Consider the following 20,612-nt stretch of genomic DNA (forward strand, 5'->3'; position numbering starts at 1 on the left):
CACATCACCTTCAGTAAAAAGGCATAAGTCGGGACTCCTCCAGAATTATTTCTGGACAAATTTGTGATCATCCCTACTCCCACCCCATGCTTTTACACCCTTAGTCCCCCTCCTTATCTGTCCTGATCCTTGGGAGCCCCAAGATGATCTAAAATTTTTCTCTGGCTGTCTAGGGCACTCCACTTCAGCATTCTCCTGTGGTGTAACATTACCTGCCACTCATGCTGGTTCCCATGCGCCAAGCTAATTTCAACAACGGGTGAAGTGGGTATCTCCATGTGATGGCTGAGGAGACAGATTCTGGGTGTTGCTACTAAGCCTCATGGAGGCAGCCATGACAGAGCAGAGCCTTCTGTCCTCCTGTTCCAGGTCAGCAGCCTCTCCCAAGGCAGGACTCCATGGGCCAGCCTCTTTCCTCCCCCACCCTGCTTCTTCAGGCCAGCTCTTATTTGGTCTGACAATAAGTCTGAGGTAAGCTGTTACTGGCTGACGGTGTTTGGTGCCTTTCCCAAGAATGGGTACATTTTAACCTGGGCATCCTCTTGATACCACCTTAATCAAGGTTCCAGTGGTGGGTCTTTTATAGAGGGTGTGGTTGGGAGATGAGATTCCTTTGTGAAGAAGATATTTTAGTGGCCTCTAGGTCCCACTAGGCAGCTTGTGCTTGCACGACAATTCCTTAAACAAGCATTTCATGGCCTGAGCAGGGCTCAGAAATCCTCAAGAATTCAGAATGTCAGCAAAAGTCCAAATCTGTGTTTCATAACACCAAAATTATTTACATGGACTCAGAAATTTTCCTTACATTGTTAACCTGGACTGGTCCTCCCATCCTAACACACACCCACACACAGACTTACTTAGCTCCGCATCTAAGTGGTTTGTAGTGGCACATGTTTAGATTTTGTACCCCAAAGCTCAAAAAGTATTTTTTATCATGAATTTAACTGAAAAATACACATATTTCCATTCCAGAGAGGACTCCTCTTGTTGGGGGCTAACTTCAACACCAGACTCTCCTGAGTACATCTTTGCAGCTCTATAAACTTCTGGTATTTGTTCACATTGTCTAATAATTTCCTGGAAATAGACTTAGTATTTTTAGTTATAAGAAGAATTGAAAAATAATATTGCTGTTCTAGAAGAAGGCATTTATTTATTTTGCATTTGTACTTCACCCAGAGGCTGGCTGTGCAGACAAATCTCTCTGCTTGGGAACGACAGGGCTCTCTAAAGTAACTCTAGGGATGCAGCTGTCTACAAGTCACACTGAAAATGAAAAGTATGTTTATGAGGTCATGAGAAAGTCTTGTCATAAGTTGTAATTTTGTGTGTGTATTTAAAAGGTATTTGGTGACCAACCTTTTCTGTCTCACACCCGCACACACACACTATTGCCTGATTTCCAGGCTTAAACTGAGACTGAACTATCACCTGTCTGTTACGCATATGCAAACACACTGAAACCTCATTGTCTACACTCAGTGTGGCACTTCACCTGATACCACCATCTGACACCAGGCTGCAAGTCATAGGTTGCAGTCAGGTACATACACCCCTTTGCAAGAAGGCATTCTCAAAACCTTCCACTAGAGGCACGTGTGAGCACCTTTGCTAGAAAGCTTTGGTCGGCTAGCCTTCCAGAGCAGAAAAAACTGGGAAGGGCCTGAACCCAAAATTTACATAAAAGTAAATACAAATAATGAATGATTCCCTACTCTTCAGAGACATGCAAAATAGGAAAGAGAAAACTCTATCAGATTAGCAAACTACATGAGGATGATGAACATGATGGTAGGAATTCAATTACACACTGCCTGTGGAACTATAAAATTGTACAAACCTTTCAGCAAACAATTTGGCAAAACAGAGCTTGTATCTTAGTGTCCGTTCCCTTGAATCCTTTCATTCTAAGATTCTATTTTATGGAAATAACCAGAAATATGAGCAAATATTTATGTTCAAAATGTTTGCGGCAGTTTTTTTTTAAGAAGCAAAAAAAAAAAAATAGAAACATTCTAAATGCTCGGGATTAAATATATTATTCTCATGATGGAATATTTTGCAATCACTAAAGCGAGGTCCGTGAACAGTTTTAATAACTTGAGAAAATCTTAAAGTTAAGAGAAAGGTTCAGATAGAAAATTACATACAGTATTTTCTCAATAATTCAATGTACTAAACATGCAAAAGACTGGAAGAAAATACAATAAAATGTCAATTGGTTAACTCTGGGTGAAATTATGGGTGGTTTTCATTTTGTTATTTATATTATATTTTTCTATGTTTTCCAAATTTTTCAGCCTGAGCAATTTCCAAAGTGCTGAGTTGAGACAGCTGAGGAGCACAATTAGTGTAAAAGAAAGACTACAGATGGAACAGTTCATATCATTTGAAGCATGATTATAGGAATAGACATCAAGAATTTAAAGCAAGCATAATACATATATCAAAGAGGGAGGGGACTTATTAGTAACATTAAGCAAAAGAAAGAAATAATTGTTTTAAACCTAGTGGAAACATTAAGTATGAAGAAAGTAATAAAATAAAGGGCAAATAGATGGAATACATAGCAGAATGTAGCACAACAGTGTGACTGTTGTCAATAATAATTAATTGTACATTTTTAAAATAACTAGAAGAGCATAGTTGAATTGTTAGTAACACAAAAGATAAAAGCTTGAAGGGATGGATACCTTATTCCCCATAATGGGATTATTATGCATTGCCTGCATATATCAAAACATCTCAGGTACCCCATAAATATATACACCTACTATGTACCCACGACAATTTTTTAAATTTCTTTTTGTTAAAAAAAAACCCTCATCTGGAGCCACAACAATTTAATTTTTAAAAAACAAATATGAAGCAGAATAGATACAACTGAAGAATGGACTGGGTTTGAAGAGTTTGAGGAGCTCTTCCAAAAGCAGCAGGAAAAGACAAAATTCTGGCTCATGAAATCAATTTAGTGCATTTTGACCACAACTGAAAGAGAATAGAACAGAACAGAATGGGATGGGTTAGGATAGAAAACATCACTGCACAGCACATAATAATGCTAAGAATAGTTTGTGAAAACTTTATTTCAGTTATTTTTATTTTTATACTTTTGTGCGTGTGTATGTATACTGAGTTTCTATGTAAAATGATCTCTTGGTTTCCTTGAGCCCAGAAGTTCGAGACCAGCTTGGGCAACATAAGAAGACCCCATCTGTACAAAAAATAATAATTAAAAATGAGTAAAATAATTTCTTAGTGTGGGTTACAATAAAAAAGTTTGAAAGCTCCTCTTTCATTTTATTTATTTTAGATCCAGGAGGTACATGTGCAGGGTCGTTACATGAGTATATTGCATGATACTGAGGTTTGTGCTTCTATTGAACCCATCACCCAAATAGTGAAAATAGTACCTAATATGCGGTTTTTCAACCCTTGCCCTCTTCCCTAATTTTGGAGTCCCCAGTGTGTCTATTGTTCCCATCTTTGTGTCTATGTGTACCCCATGTTGAGCTCCCATTTATAAGTCAGAACATGTGGTATTTGGTTTTCTGTTTCTGCATTAATTCATTTAAGATAATGGCCTCCAGCTGCATCCATATTGCTGCAAAGGACATGATTTCATTCTTGTTCATGGCTGTGTAGTATTCCATGGTGTATATGCACCACATTTTCTTTATCCAGTCCACCATTGATGGGCACCTAGGTTGATTCCATGTCTGCTATGGTGAATAGTGCTGTGATAAATGTAGAAGTGCAGGTGTCCTTCTGATGGGATAATTTCTTTTCCTTTGGATATATACCCAGTAATGAGATTGCTGGGCTGAATGGTAATTCTATTTTTAGTTCTTTGAGAAATCTCCTAACTGTTTTCCACAGGGACTGAACTAATTTACATTTCCACCCACAGTGTCTAAGTGTTCCCTTTTCTCCACAACCCCGCCAATATCTGTTTTTCCCCATTGCTTTCATATCCTCTCTCCATATTCCATAGGCCCTCATAGTGTCATTCCTACTCCATATGCCACTGCTGTGGTAATCAGTGTGCTGTGGAACAACCTGGCCATGGAAATTTTGGAAAAGATGAGGTACATCAAGAAAGCAGTTGACTTTATTGCAGCACTTTGAAATTTTTAGGTTTGTTTTGTACATTGTGACTCTTTCAGAGGACTATACATTTGTTGTAATATTTTCCAAATTTATTTTACTATGGGATACCAGTTTGGGAAATGGCATTCACTGAAATAATGTGATACAGACAGGGAGCAGTAGCTCACATCTGTAATCCCAGCACTTTGGGAGGCTGAGGCACGAGGATCGCTTGAGCTTGAGCTCAGGAGTTCAAGACCAGCCTGGGCAACATAGTGAAACCCCTGTCTCTTAAAAAAAAAAAAAAATCCAAAAAGTTGTAGAGTTAACAGTGACTTTCTAATTTCCCAGATTTAAAATTCTTCTTATTCATTTACTTAACAAATATTTATTTTATTGAGTGTCTACTATGCGGCAAGTACTGTTCTAGGAACTTGGGATACATCAGTAAACAAATGGACAAAGGTCTTCGCCCTAAAAAGCTTTACATATTTAGCAGGAGAAAGACCATAAGAAATAAGTAAACTGAATACCTTAATTAATTAATGATATCATATGTTAAAAGGTAATATTTACCATGTGGAAAAATATAGAACAGCGAAGGGGGCTGGAGGTGGTAGTGGCGGGGCAGCATGGAAAGGACAGGTGGGTGGAAATTTTACACAGTGAGCAAAGACTAGAATAGTGCTACTGCTGGATATCTGGGGGGAAAGGATTCCAAGCAGGAGGAACAATTTGAGCAAAGGCATGAGTAATCTTAAATAAAAATCATCTTAAAGACATGTTACAAACTATTATGTAATTATCCCCAAATGTAGTGGCTTAAAACTGTCATTTCATTATGCTAACACCTTTTGTGAGTCGGGAATTAACAAAGAGAATCAAAGGGTGAAAGCTGTTTAATTTATATCTCTACCAGTCAATGCTAGCTATCAGCTGGGATTGTCAGCTAGAACACCAACATGTGAACTTTTCCGGTGGCCTGGGCTTCCTCACAGACCAGTCTTCCAAGACAATCAGTGGAAGGTGTATTCCCTTTTATGACCTAGCCTAGGAAGTCACATAATGTCACTTCCACAGTAATTATAAGCTACCCAGATTTGAGAGGAGGGAAGTGTATTAGTTTGCTAGGGCTGCCATAACAAAGTACTGTAGACTGGTGGCCTGAATAAGAGAAATGTATTATCTCACAGTTCTGGAAGCTGGAAGTCCAAAATAAAGGGGTTGGTAGGGTTGGTTCCTTCTGAGGGCTGAGAGGAAGGATCTGCTCCAGGCCTCTCTCCTTGGCTCTCCTCTCTTCTCTCCCTGTCTCCTCACATCATCTTCCCGCTCTGTGTGTCTATGTCCATTTTTCCCCTTTTTAAAAGGACGCCAGTCATACTGCATGAGGGCCCACCCTAATGAGTTCATTTTACTTGATTAGCTGTGTAAAGACTGCATCTCTGATTAAGTTCACATTCTGAGGTACTGTAGGTTAGAACTTCAACATAAGAATTTTTGGAGAAACATAGTTTAACCCATAAAAGGAACATAGACCCAACTCTGAATGGGAGGAGTCTTCAAGTCACCATGTAAAAAGTGTGTGGGAGATGTGGGTACTGCCATCTTTGAAAAATATAGTTTGCCACATCATGACATAAAAAGTTTAATAATGAGGCTGGCCGCAGTGGCTCATGCCTGTAATCCCAACACTTTGGGAGGCCGAGGCAGGCAGATCACGAGGTCAGGAGTTTGAGACCAGCCTGGCCAATATGGTGAAACTCCATCTCTACTGAAAATACAAAAATTAGCCAGGTGTGGTGGCACATGCCTGTAGTCCCAGCTACTGGGGAGGCTGAGGCAGAAGAATTGCTTGAACCCGGGAGGCAGAGGTTGCAGTGAGCCGAGATTGTGCCACTGCACTCCAGCCTGGGTAACAGAGGGAGATTCCATCTCAAAAAAAAAAAGTTTAATAATGAGGTCAGGCACAGTGGCACATGCCTGTACTCCAAGCTACTTGGGAGGCTGAGGCACAAGAATCGCTTGAACCCAGGAGGCAGAGGATGTAGCGAGATGAGATTGCACCACTGCACTCCAGCCTGGGTGACAGAGGAAGACCCTGTCTCAGAAAAAAAAAAAAAAGTGTAATATATGAGAGTCCATGACAACTTACACTGTATAAATAAGCCCACAACATAATAAAACATAACTTGGGGGGAACTACTTTGATATGTTTTTTAAAATTTTTTATGGTAGGGTCTCACTCTGTCACCCAGGCTAGGGTTCAGTGGCATGATCATAGATCACTGCAGCCTCAGACTTCTGAGCTCAAGCAATCCTCCCACTTCAGCCTTCAAAGTAGGTGGGACTACAGGAATGTGCCATCACACTCGACTCATTTTCTTTTCTTTTTCTTTGTTTTTTTTTTTTTTTTTTTTTGTAAAGACAATGACTCACTATGTCTCCCAGACTGTGTTTTATATTTTTACAGTGAGCAAAAAAGCTCATATACCAACTGTCTGGTTCCAGACAAGACACCTGGAAAAATCTATGACTGACTCTTTCCCAAGGCAATTCAAGTCTGTGCTTCAAAAACCAGTGCTTTCTGCAAATCATTATTTTTGGCCCAAGGATTTGCTCTACTTTAAGATCCTTCGCTAATTTACTTATTTGTAGTAGACATTCGCTATTAGTTGCTGTAGTTCAACCTTGACCAATCTTGTCTTCACTCAGAGGAATTCGTGCCTGTTAGTTTTATTTTATGTGCAAAGTAGATTAAACATGTATTATTATCAAATTTTAGGAGAAACAAATGTTAATAAGTACTTGCTATAACAATAAATATGATTATGCTTTATTTATTGCCATTATTGTTACTACTTGAGATGAATCTTGTGCAAAATAAACTTTAAACCTGGGTGGGGCTCCCACCAAACCCAGAAAGGTATTGGTAACATCTTATTGCCCCAGTGCTTGCAGCAAATTTTCTGTAACATCAATCATTGAATAAAGATTACACAAAAGCCAATATCTTTTTGCCCTCTCTAAACCCTAAAAATTCCTTTTAAAAGTGAGTTGAAGAGACCCAGTTATCCTACAATCCAGTAGACTAATCTCCAATTGCCTTTGGAGTATTTATCACCCTTGCTGCTTCGACTTCCCTAGCCTCTTTTCACTGGTCAGCCTTCCCCCAAGTCCTGCTGCTCAGCTGGGATGCACACATCACCAGGCCAGGCTCACCACAGACCTACTGAATTAGAATCTCTACAGGTGGGGCTCAGGAATTTATTTTGCTTTGTTTGTTTTGTTGTTGTTGTTGCTTTTGGTTTTTTTGGAAGTTCCCCAGGTAATTTGGGTGATCATTTAAGTCTGATTACTACCAATCTGTGTGCTAAAATTCAAGTTCCTGAAGCTTAGCATAAAAAGGGCCTCACCTCTGCTTGACTCTACAATTGCATCTCCTACTATTTTGCACGTCATGATTACCTACCTGCAATATTGAACAACCAATAGCTCACAACGCTAGACATACTGCCTCCCTCCTCTGGGCCCTTGCCTGGAACACCCTTTGCATACTTTGACTACTGAACAACTTATTTTCCTTCCAAAATTCAGCCCTAGTGTCTGCTTCCAGAAAGCCTTCCCTGATGACCTCACCTCCACCTGCTCTGAATTCCGACTGCACCTCGTTCCACAGCAGTCAGCACCCAGTGTGGAAATATATTAATGAAACCGCCTTTACAAAATTATGACTGAGACAGTGAAAGAAATCTAACTTAACCAACTCCATCTTGCTTCTAACCCCCAAGCTATCCTTGTTCATTCCTAGGTGTAGGCTTAACTAACTTTGGGAGAAGTTAGTAAGGGTAATAGCCCTTTCCCAAAGCAGTCCTCCTTCTTACCTGGGACTGGATTGCCTTTGTAGGACTAACATTAGCCACAAGATTAGAAATTATGGTTTAGGAGTCATGCAGCCGAAGGCTACAAGATTCTGACCCTCCCTAAACTGCTCCAAAGATCAGCGCTTGAGATATTTGGCAGACCCTGCACTTGATGGATCAGCTGGCCCCACACAGATCAATAAACTGGCTCATCTGATCTTGTGGCCTCCACCTAGGAACTGACTGAGCAAAAGAAGACAGCTCCAATTCCATATGATTCATCTCTGACCAATCAGCACTCCTGGCTCACTGGCTTCCTCTCACCCACCAAGTTATCCTTAAAAACTCTGCTTCCCAAATGCTTGGGGAAACTGATTTAAGTAATAATAAAACTCTGGTCTCCCCGCCGGCTGGCTCTGTGTGAATTACTCTTTTTCTATTGCAATTCCCCTGTCTTAAGGAATTGGCTCTGTCTAGGCAGCAGGCAAGGTAAACCTCTTGGGCAGTTACATTAATACTTGCTCACCTACCTATCTCCTCTGCTAAAGTGTGATCTATTTGAAGGCAGGCTCCATGTCATCTTCACCTCAGCATTCTCAAAACCTAACCCAGTGATACAGGAGCTAGAATGAAATTATTTAGGCAGTTAGTGAGGGTAAAAGAGTCCTCGGCAAGATTTCCCTTTTAATAAAAAGCAGTCCCCAAATCATTTATTTTCTAACAAAGGGCAGCTGCAGACATAGATAAGCAAGCTGAAAGCTTGCATGGGTGAATGCCAGCAGCTGTGCCAGTAAGAAAAGGCTACCTGGGGGCCAGGCATGTTCAACATGGAGACTCCATCTTCTCTTTTCTTTGTCAACCACATGTGCAATAAAGAAGCAGGCAACATGGCGCTGGCCAAGTAGAGAACCCATTCAAATAATATAGATTACGGTGGGGTGGCCAGCTTCTTTGCCCGCTATGTAAATGGCACACCTGGTCCAACCAATCTTTTGGGCCCTATGTAAATCAGATACTGCCTCCTCAAGAGTTTTTCTCTTTCTTTTGCCTGTTAAACCTCTGCTCTTAACCTCACTCCTTGTGTGTCCACATCCTTGATTTCCTTGGCATAAGGCAACAAACCTCAGGTATTACCCCAGACAAATGATGCCACTTCATCAGGGCTGGATTGAATTAGAATAAACTGGTTTTATGGGAATATGCAGTGTGGTCCTTTATCAAGCAGTTTAAGTCTCCTTTGTAAGAGCCATTGGATATTATTGTACTCAACCAGGCTGCTGAGTGTTTTGTTACTCTGCAGGCCCTGAAGTGGTCAGGAAGATTTTCTTTCAGTGTTGAACACAGTACATGACAAGTTGCAGTAGCTCATGCTTATAATCCCAACACTTTGGGAGGCCAAGGCAGGTGGATTGCTTGAGCCCAGGAGTTCAAGACCAGCCTGGGCAACACAGCAAAACCCCATCTCTACAAAAAAACAGAGTCTCTTTCTGTCACCCAGGCTGGAGTGCAGTGTCACAATCTCGGCTCACTGCAGCCTCCACCTCCCAGGTTCAAGCGACTGTCCTGCCTCAGCCTCCCAAGTAGCTGAGATTATAGTCATGCACCACAATGACCAGCTAATTTTTGTTTTTTTAGTAGAGATGGGGTTTCACCATGTTGGCCAGGCTGGTCTTGAACTCCTGACCTCAAGGGATCCACCTGCCTTGGCCTCCTAAAGCGCTGGGATTACAGGTGTGAGCCACTGTGCCTGGCCTCATGTATTTCTTTATAGCAACACAAGAATGGACTAATACAGTGATCTAGACCAGCAGTTCTCAGCCCTGGTTGCAAATTAGAGTCACATGGGTAGCTTTTAAAGCTTATTCCTGCTAGGATAGGACCCCACCACAAACATATTAAATTAGAATATCTGGGTGTGAAGCCTGGGCCAGCTTGCTTCCTTCTGCCTTTTATTTCTTCCTCTTTCCAGTTTCCCAGATTTTTCTAAAGTTCAGCCAGTGTTGGGGCTATTAATCTGGACTTGAGTGTACCCCTGTTATAATCTGTATTTCTGTTCCAACTAATAAACTTCTTCTTGTTCTGAATAACAACCAAAAAAAGAGATAATTACTTTGATGTTTTGAAAACTAGAGGAGAATGATCTACATAGTCTGGGTAAGAGTAGGGGCATGAGGGAATATCAGGCTTCAGAGCAGATCCCCTAGAAACAGGAACAGACCTTCTCTAAAAATCACCTAGAGCAGCAGTGCTCAAGCAGTCTCTGGACCTGCAGCATCAGCATCACCTGGGAGCTTCCTGGGAATGGAAATTCTCAGGTCTCACTTCAGAAATTCTGAGAATGGATGCAATGGACTGAATGTTTGTGTCCCTGCCCAAAATTCATGTGTTAAAATCCTAACCTGGCCCGGCATGGTGGCTCACACCTGTAATTCCAGCACTTTGGGAGGCTGAGGCGGGTGGATCGTCTGAGGTCAGGAGTTTAAGACCAGCCTGGGCAACATGGTGAAACCCTGTCTCTACTAAAAATACAAAAATTAGCCGAGCATAGTGGCACGCACCTGTAGTCCCAGCTGAGGCAGGAGAATCGCTTGAACCCGGGAGGCGGAGGTTGCAGTGAGGCGAGATCACTCTGCACTCCAGCCTAAGTGACAGAGTGAGACTCTGTCTCAAAAAAAAAAAAAAAAATTCCTAATCTGAAATGTGATGGTATTAGGAGGTGGGGCCTTTGGGAGGTGATTAGGCCACAATGGTGGAACCCCCATGAATGGGATTAGTCCCCTTTTAAAAATGACCCCGGAGAGCTCTCTACACCTCTTTCCACCATGGAAGGATGGACACAAGGATAAGTTGGCCATCTGCAACCGAGAAGAACATCCTTATCAGAACCTGACCATGCTGGCACCCTAATCTCAGACTTCCAGCCTCCAGAACAGTGAGAATTAAACTTCTGTGCTTAATAAGCCACTGTGTCTACGGTTCTTTGTTATAGCAACCCAAACTAAGACTGTGGTGTTCCTGAATCTGTTTTTACCAAGCTCTGCAGGTGATTCTGATGCACTGATTGGAAGATAGCAGTGGGGAAATTAAGATCTTGATCTTCCTTTTCTGATGTGGATTCATCTCTATTTTTATTTTAAACACATCCTACCTATACTGCCTCCCAAAAGGAAGACTGTAGCAACAGCCGAAGCAGTAACGTCAGAAGCTACCTGACTTACTGTCACGTGTCCAGTGTTAGATGGAACATTGTAAACTCCACCATTCCCTTCTGTGCATGCCTTTTGGGCCCTGACCTTTTCGTTTAAGCTTAGGTTTTGTGTCCCTAACATGACAGCCACAGTTGTAATCACCAAATTCTGACAGCCATGAGCATTTAGTAGCTATGCAGGGATGGTAATGCCAGACTGATGTGATTAAAATATGTTTTATGAGGCTTTTTTTTGGCTCCTGTTCACCCGTCTTTTGTTCTCCATTTCCTCACCAGATGAGGTCACATACTCTCCAATTTTCATGCAAGCCACAGTTTAGCCTGTGCAGCTGGGGAGCTGGATGGAGGTCATTCTGGATTCCACCCAGCAGTATTTTACCCTAAGCCAGAGCTTTCCTCTCAGCCTGGAGGCCAACGAAATAGGAAGCAGCTCAACTTTTTTTGCCAAGAACCCTTTATCACGGGTTAGCAAGAGCCTCAGACAGTGTGAGGCCTCAGAGCCTGTTTGGAATGGAGACCACACAAGAAATGTAGAATGCCACCTGTAGGATAACTAGTCCCATGGCTTGTTTTTCTCAAAAAAGGAAGGAAACCTACCTTTATTAAACATAGACTAATTCTCAGGATTTTACATACACAATTTTACTCAATCCCCACAACAACACTGTGAAGTTAGTGTTATTATTCCTACTTATAGAAATACAAACATTTGGCAGGGCACGGTGGCTCACGCCTGTAATCCTAGCACGTTGGGAGGCCGAGGCGGGCGGATCACGAAGTCAGGAGATCGAGACCATCCTGGCTAACACGGTGAAACCCCGTCTCTACTAAAAATACAAAAAAAAGTAGCCAGGCGTGGTGGCGGGCGCCCGTGGTCCCAGCTACTCGTGAGGCTGAGACAGGAGAATGGCGTGAACCCGGGAGGCGGAGCTTGCAGTGAGCCGAGATCGTGCCACTGCACTCCAGCCTGGGCGACAGAGCGAGACTTCATCTCAAATAAGAAAGAGAGAGAGAGAGAGGGAGAGAGGGAGAGAGGGAGGGACGGAGGGAGGGAGGGAGGGAGGGAAGGAAGGCAAACATGCAGAAAACAAGTTGAGAATGATTGAACAACTTGCCTGAAACCCCACAGGTGATAAACTTTGATTCGTGCTCTCACTGTTACCCTGCGCTTCCCATTCAGCGTGCTGAACAAACTGCACAGAAATGCCAGCCCAGCTTGTTTCTGCTACTGCATTGCCTTTCCTAATATAATGTTGAAAGTGAATGCAATTTTAAAAAGAAGCCAGTATAAATGTGTGCTGGGTTTTAAGAGTTGATTCTTGAGATGCTCTATAAAAATAAAAAGGTGAGCAAGGAAGAATTATGAAGGGAAACTTAGATGCAATGGCATCAGAAATGACAAGCACTCTCTTGGATCTGTTTCTCCCCTGCTCTCCTGCTGTCTAACTTCCTAACCCATCAAGAACTTTCATCAGATCTCCAGCTGGGATGGCCAAGACTGATACCACATCCAGCCTCTTTAGGGACATAAGGCTGTTTACCTGTGACTGTCCTACCCCTTTATTCCACACTCTAGCCTCAGTTTCCACCTGTGTGTGAACAATCTATCTAAGACTGGGAGAGTACCTTCTTCTGCACATTCTTGTCAATACTGAGAACTATATTCTCTTAAAATCTTTTCCATTAAATGGTAAAAATAAAAATCTCATGATTGTAATGTGCATGTCCTTTATTGATGTTGAGGTTGAATACACACATATTTGAATTTTTTCCTTTGTGATTTCCCCATCCATATTTTTCACTCATCTTCTTTTGGGGAGTGATTCTTGATATATTAGAACTTGTTTTTGGCCAAGGGTATTAATCATCTGTCATGTGTGAACTCAAAAGCATCTGATACAGGTCTCAATTAATTTAGAAGGTTTATTTTGCCAAGGTTAAGGCCACACCTGTGACACAGCCTCAAGAGGTCTTGACGATATGTGTCCAAGGTGGATGGGGTACAGTTTGCTTTTGTATATTTTAGGGAGACATGAGACATCAGCCAATACATGGAAGATATGCATTGGTTTTATCTGGGAAAGTGGGACAACTCAAAGTGGAGGCTTCCCGGTCATAGGTAGATTTAAAGATTTTCTGATTAGCAATTGGTTGAAAGAGTTAAGTTATCATCTAAAGACCTGGAATCAAAAGAAAGGAATATTTGGATTACAATAAGGGGTTGTAGAGGCCAATGTTTTATCATGCAGATGAAGCCTCCAGATGGCAGGCTTCAGAGAGAATACATTGTAAATGTTTCTTATCAGACTTAAGGTCTGTGTTAATGTTAATGCTCATTGGCTTTTCCTGAATTCCAGTAGGGAGGAGGGTATAAAGAGGCATGTCTGACTCCCCCTTCCCATGATGGCCTGAGCTAGGTTTTCAGGTTAATTTTGGAATGCCCTTGGCCAAAAGGAGGGGGTCTGTTCAGATTGTTAGGAAGCTTAGAATTTTTTCGGTTTACATATATATAAGCATATATTGTGTCCCAGCTTGTCTTTTGACTTTGGTTGTTTTTGCAGAACAGCAATTTTCATTGTATATGGTCAAATCTATGGTTCCTTCCTCCAGGGTCATTTTTAGAAAGACCTTCCCCATGCCAAACTTTTAAAAATATTTACCTATACCTTTTTGTATAGTTTTTATGTCTTGTTTTTTACATGCAATTTATCTGAAATAATTTTGTTGTAATGTATGGGAAAATATTCTGAAGTTAGCTGGTAGCCAGTTGTTCTAACACCATTTATTGAACAAGACCTACTCTCCTCACCTATTTTAAAGTACCACATTTGCTGGGCACAGTAGCTCATGCCTGTAATCCTACCACTTTGGGAGACTGAGGCAGGTGGATTGCCTGACTCAGGAGTTGGAGACCAGCCTGGGCAACATGATGAAACCCCATCTCTACTAAAAAATACAAAAAAGTAGCTAGGCATGGTGGCACATGCCTGTAGTCCCAGCTACTCAGGAAACTGAGGCACAAGAATTGTTTGAACCCTGGAGGCAGAGGTTGCAGTGAGCCGAGATCATACCACTGTACTGCACTCCAGCCTGGGTGACAGAGCGAGATTCTGTCTTCCAAAAAAAAAAAAAAAGCCACCTTTATTCTATGCTCAATCTTCATATGCATTTTAGTTTTTTTCTAGGCTAGAGACTTTCACTGATCTATCTATTCTTGTGCTGATACAACACTGGTTTAACTTCTGAATAATTATTATTATTATTATTATTATTTTGAGACAGGCTCTTACTCTGTCACCCAGGCTGGAGTGCAGTGGCTTGATCTTGACTCATTGCAACCTCTGGCTCCTAGGCTCAAACAATCCTCCTACCTCAGCCTCCCGAGTAGCTGGGACCACAGGCACATGCCACCACACCAGGCTACTTTTGTATATTTTGTAGAGATGGGGTTTTGCCGTGTTGCCCAGGCTGGTCTCGAACTCCTGAGCTCATATGATCATCCCTCCTTGGCCTCCCAAAGTCCTGGGATTATAGGTGTGAGATACCATGCCCAGTCTAATTTGTGTAATTTTATAATATGTTTTAATATCTGCTAGAGCTGGCTCTCTAATGATTACCTAGTGTTTCCTGTTAACCTGGCACTTTGCTAGGCCCCAGAGATATAAAAAAAATTTGACCTAATCCCTGCCCTCAAAAGGCTACTAATCACATTTAGGTAAAGAACATCAACTAATAGGCGCATTAAGTCATGATCTCTGCTGTGGAGGAGGACTGAACTGGGTAGAGAGTATAGTAAATCTCCTAGGAGAAGGGGTGGAAATGAAAATAGCAAGAGGACTACAGTGCTTCACCACTGAGCCAAGTAGGTGGACTAATGGAGGCCCCATGCTAAACCATGCAGCATCATGACTGTATTAGTCAGGGCTCTCCAGAAAAACAGAGCAAGAATGGGGGGGGTGTGTGTGTGTGTATGTGTGTGTGTGTGTGTTTGTGTGTGTGTAGAGAGAGAGAGAGAGAAAGAGAGAGAAAGAATATGAGAGAATGAGATATATTAGAAGGAATTGGCTCATTTAACTGTGGAGGCTGAGACATCCCACAATCTGCCAATTGCAAGTTGGAGACCTGGGAAAGCCAGTGACATAAATTCCAATTTGAGTGCAAAGGCCTGAAGACCTGGAGTGCTGATGGTGTAAGTACCAGTCCAGGGGCAGAAAAAGACTGATGTCTCAGCTCCAACAGGCAGAGAGAGAGTTCAATTTTCCTTCACTTTTTTTTTTTTTATACTTTAAGTTTTAGGGTACATGTGCACAATATGCAGGTTAGTTACATATGTATACATGTGCCATGCTGGTGTGCTGCACCCATTAACTCGTCATTTAGCATTAGATATATCTCCTAATGCTATCCCTCCCCCCTCCCCCCACCCCACAACAGTCCCCAGAGTGTGATGTTCCTATTCCTGTGTCCATGTGTTCTCATTGTTCAATTCCCATCTATGAGTGAGAACATGCAATGTTTGGTTTTTTGTCGTTGTGATAGTTTACTGAGAATGATGATTTCCAATTTCATCCATGTCCCTACAAAGGACATGAACTCATCATTTTTTATGGCTGCATAGTATTCCATGGTGTATATGTGCCACATTTTCTTAATCCAGTCTATCATTGTTGCACATTTGGGTTGGTTCCAAGTCTTTGCTATTGTGAATAGTGCTGCAGTAAACATACGTGTGCATGTGTCTTTATAGCAGCATGATTTATAGTCCTTTGGGATGGCTGGGTCAAATGGTATTTCTAGTTCTAGATCCCTGAGAAATCGCCACACTGACTTCCACAATGGTTGAACTAGTTTACAGTCCCACCAACCGTGTAAAAGTGTTCCTATTTCTCCACATCCTCTCCAGCACCTGTTGTTTTCTGACTTTTTAATGATTGCCATTCTAACTGGTGTGAGATGGTATCTCATTGTGGTTTTGATTTGCATTTCTCTAATGGCCAGTGATGATGAGCATTTTTTCATGTGTCTTTTGGCTGCATAAATGTCTTCTTTTGAGAAGTGTCTGTTCATATCCTTTGCCCACTTTTTGATGGGGTTGTTTGTTTTTTCTTGTAAATTTGTTTGAGTTCATTGTAGATTCTGGATATTAGCCCTTTGTCAGATGAGTAGGTTGCGAAAATTTTCTCCCATTTTGTAGGTTGCCTGTTCACTCTGATGGTAGTTTCCTTTGCTGTACAGAAGCTCATTAGTTTAATTAGATCCCATTTGTCAATTTTGGCTTTTGTTGGCATTGCTTTTGGTGTTTTAGACATGAAGTCCTTGCCCATGCCTATGTCCTGAATGGTAATGCCTAGGTTTTCTTCTAGGGTTTTTATGGTTTTAGGTCTAACGTTTAAGTCTTTAATCCACCTTGAATTAATTTTTGTATAGGTGTAAGGAAGGGATCCAGTTTCAGCTTTCTACATATGGCTAGCCAGTTTTCCCAGCACCATTTATTAAATAGGGAATCCTTTCCCCATTGCTTGTTTTTCTCAGGTTTGTCAAAGATCAGATAGTTGTAGATATGCGGCATTATTTCTGAGGGCTCTGTTCTGTTCCATTGATCTATATCTCTGTTTTGGTAGCAGTACCATGCTGTTTTGGTTACTGTAGCCTTGTAGTATAGTTTGAAGCCAGGTAGCGTGATGCCTCCACCTTTGTTCTTTTGGCTTAGGATTGACTTGGCGATGGCACCATGTCCGAGAGCGTGAAGAGGCCTGGAGCTAGCAAACAAGACATAAGGCTTATGAGGACTTATGAATGGGGTGGTCCCATGGCCCATGAGGACTTACAAACAGAGGCGGTCCTATGGCCTGTGAGGACTTACATACAGGGGTGGTCCCGTGGCCTGTGAGGACTTACACACAGGGTCGGTCCTGTGGCCTGTGAGGATTACAAACAGGGGCGGTTCTATGGCCTATGAGAACTTACACACAGGGCTGGTCCTGTGACAGCAGGTGGACAGGAGAACCACTATTGTTTGTAAAAAGCATGCAGTTTATATAGCATTTTCACTTAGCACCCTCCACCTAGCAATCTCTATTTGACACAAAACAAAGGGCCTCAATCCCCTATATGGCCTGCATTTTAAGGGATAGGCCAGGGGTTTGGATGTCCCTTACAGATAAGGAGTGATTCTCTCGATTGGCCACTCCCGGATTCCTTAGCTTGGGACTTCAAATCCACATTCTTCTTAGACCATGGGGTCATTCTCAGAGTAAGCCTCATTTGTGGCTGTCAGGTACCTCTGCCATATACACCTCCACAGTCTTGTGAGGTGGGCAGATATCAGAAATTTCACTGGAAGTGTAAATAGATGTTTTCATCGAAATGTAAATGGATGTGATTCATCTAGAGCGCTGGTGACAGAGCCAAGTTAAGTTTCAGATTCCTGGACCACTTCTTTATCATACCCTATGGCTTACCAAGTAGGCCTGATTTTCTGTTCAATAAAGTCCTAACAGTACTATTCACCCTATCTGTCATGTATTATAGTATTTCTAGGAGAATATACATCTGGAATTCTATGATACCTCAGCTCCCACCCTCCCCTTCCACCACTATAATGAAGTGGGGGATCCTCTCTCTTTATATCCCTCCATCCAACACACACCTACATAAAGAGAGAAGGGAAGAGACTACGGTAAGACTGGGGTGAAGATCTGGATGGAGACCCAAAAAATGGAGCAGAGAGGAAATGAGCCTCTTTGGGATGAAGGTTCCAGGAGTTGCCGACTGTCAGGATTTCCTGCTAATGAATCTCCAAGCTGCCTCTCAGTCACCCAGCCCACCCACTTCCTTTACCATTGCCACTCTTAGTAGCTATTTTTCTTTTATTTTCTTTCCTTTTCTTTTGTTTTCCTTTCTCTTCTTTTTTCTTTTCTCTTCTTTTTGAAAGAGGATCTCACTCTGTCACCCAGGCTGGAGTGTAGTGACATGATCATGGCTCACTGCAGCCTCAACCTCCTTGGGCTCAGGTGATCCTCCCGCCTCAGCCTCCTGAGTTGCTGGGATTACATGTACATGCTACCATGCTCGGCTAATTTTTGTATTTTTTGGTAGAGGTGGGGTGTCGCCATATTGCCCAGGCTGGCCTCCAACTCCTAGGCTCAAGGATCTGCCCATCTCAGCCTATCAAAGTGTTAGTATTACAGGCTTGAGCCACAGCAGCTGGCCCTTAGTAACTTCTGAACAGAATTTCTCTCCTCTTTGGGCCAGTGAAGAAGAGAATTCAGACTCAGCATTCCGCCTCCCCAGACATACCTTTTAAAAACACACACACATCCTTAAGGTTTTTTTTTTAGCTTCTAAGGGTCTGTATTGCCAGTAACAACAGAGAAGGGGGCAGGGACTGAAAAGGCAAAAAGGCTCCACCCAGCACTCCCCTCTTTTGCTATTTCATTTAGATATTACAGAGAAGGAAGGAAGACATTTTCCCCACCCCTGAGTTTTCTTTGGGACTATCTGGGACAGAAGATCTCTCTGCAGCTCTTGTAGACCTGAGCATTTCATTTCTAGAGCTGAGATGTCAGGAGAGGAGTCTGGGATAAATGTGAGGAAATGGGATGAATGTTGCCAAGACTAATATTAGGGGTGGGTGGGGACTGAGAACAGCTGTAAGGCAATGTTCTTCCCTACCTTAGCCTCCAGAGCTCATGCTGGACCAGCTGGAGGATGTGAAAATCCAGAGGAGGTGAGGATCTGGGCCAAAGAAAGGGCAAGAAAGAAGGGAGATCTCAAGTCAAGCAATTGGAAGGAAAGGGAGGTTCCCATAGTGGACTCTGGGGCAGGAGAGATGGAAGGGTTGGGCATTTGGGCTCTCACACGTGTGTGGGGGTGGGGAGTATGGGGGTGCAGTTAAGGGACCTAGGTAACTGAGCAAAATTGGGCCTGTAAGGCCAATTGCAAAGCTCGCTTCTGCATGTAATGTGTGTACCATCTGTCTCTCCATGCCACTAGGAGCACTAATAAATGTTACATGTAGAAACTTTTGCACTAGCTTGTACATTAAAATTCCATATGCCAATTGACTGGACTACATGAGCGCATCTGTCAAAAACAGGTCTCTTAGGCCCAATTTAGGACATTCCAAAGCAGCTTTATAACTGCTTCAGCCTCCAAATGGTATGAATTAACTCTCATAAGCCAAGTCAATTCTCACTGAGTAAAGGATTCGGCCAAATGTCCAAAAAATTCAAGTCAAAAACACTCTCTTCCCTTTATTATAGAGAATATCAGTAGTAAGATCTTTTTTCCCCCAAAATTGTGCTGCTCATTGACTCCGTGTTTGATGTCATACTGTTAACATAAGTTAATATGGTCAAAATGATAAAATGCTTTATTGTATTATGGGCATGAAAAAGACCATATTTTGCATTTTTACAAAATTCTGTTTTTCCAGTTATATTTACAATTTACAGTGTATGCTGATATATATTAAGTGGTTAAATCTCAGGTGCCAAGTGTATTTTATTTTGAAAAAGTAAATATGTATAACTCCCAAGACAACCTGTTTAGACCCATTCTCTCCCGGCAATGGAAGATGCATAAAGAAGAATATAATCCTCCCTTTTAAGGTAAAGCTTAGATTTACACTTCACATGCCCAAACTCAGCACATATGTTACCTCTAGGAACTGGAAATTTTGCTTCTTTTCCTCATACTGATTTTTTTGTTTCTGTTCTTATTAACTTTTATGAAAATATCTTTAGAAAAGCAAGTATAAATACATGAATGAATAAATATATTGGATGATAGAATCAGAATCTTTAAATATCTCAACATGACAGAATAATGGGGAGATTCTAATAATGAAATGTAACAAGTATGAATGCCAGTCACACCTATGTTCCAGGAACAATTCATCATAACAGCAGGATATGTAAGGAAAGGCTTAGGGATTTCAGTTCACTATGCATAGACCTTTTTTTTTTTCTTTTTGAGACAGGGTCTTGCTCTATTACCCAGGCTGGAGTGCAGTGGTGCAATCATGGCTCACTCCCAGCCTTGATCTCTCAAGCTCAAGCACTCTTCCCACCTCAGCCTCCCTAGTAGCTGGGACTACAGCCATGCACCACCAAATCTGGATAATTTTTAAATTTTTTGTAGAGAAGGGGTCTCACTGTGTTGCCCAGGTTGATCATGAACTCCTGGCTTCAAGTGATCCTCTGGCCTCAGCCTCCCAAAGTGCTAGGATTACAGGTGAGAGCCACCACACCTGGCCCACTACTAACAGACTTTAGAGAGCCATTCAGGCTACTCCTCACCCCATGCAATCTTAGACTGTGTTACTAGATAAATGCTGTCTAAAAAAGGGGAAGAGATAACCTTTTTCTCCACTTTGTGTCAGAATACTATATTCAAATCTGGACACCTCATTTCAACAACAGATTGCAGGGATCCAAACAAAGAAACCA

The 20,612-nt window shown here is 42.0% G+C and overlaps 1 long non-coding RNA gene across 1 annotated transcript; it reads right to left on the reverse strand.

The window, feature by feature from the left end:
- Nucleotides 1-1,139: 1,139 nt before the first annotated feature.
- On the reverse strand, nucleotides 1,140-19,916 carry LINC01386 (long intergenic non-protein coding RNA 1386). Its single transcript, NR_126410.1, has 5 exons — nucleotides 19,823-19,916; nucleotides 18,835-18,897; nucleotides 12,276-12,402; nucleotides 8,483-8,575; nucleotides 1,140-1,269 (listed from the first exon to the last, which is right to left on the reverse strand). It is a non-coding gene; the product is annotated as a long intergenic non-protein coding RNA 1386 (long non-coding RNA).
- Nucleotides 19,917-20,612: the final 696 nt, after the last annotated feature.

This window comes from Homo sapiens, chromosome 5 (assembly GCF_000001405.40).
Source record: "Homo sapiens chromosome 5, GRCh38.p14 Primary Assembly".
Taxonomy (NCBI): domain Eukaryota; kingdom Metazoa; phylum Chordata; class Mammalia; order Primates; family Hominidae; genus Homo; species Homo sapiens.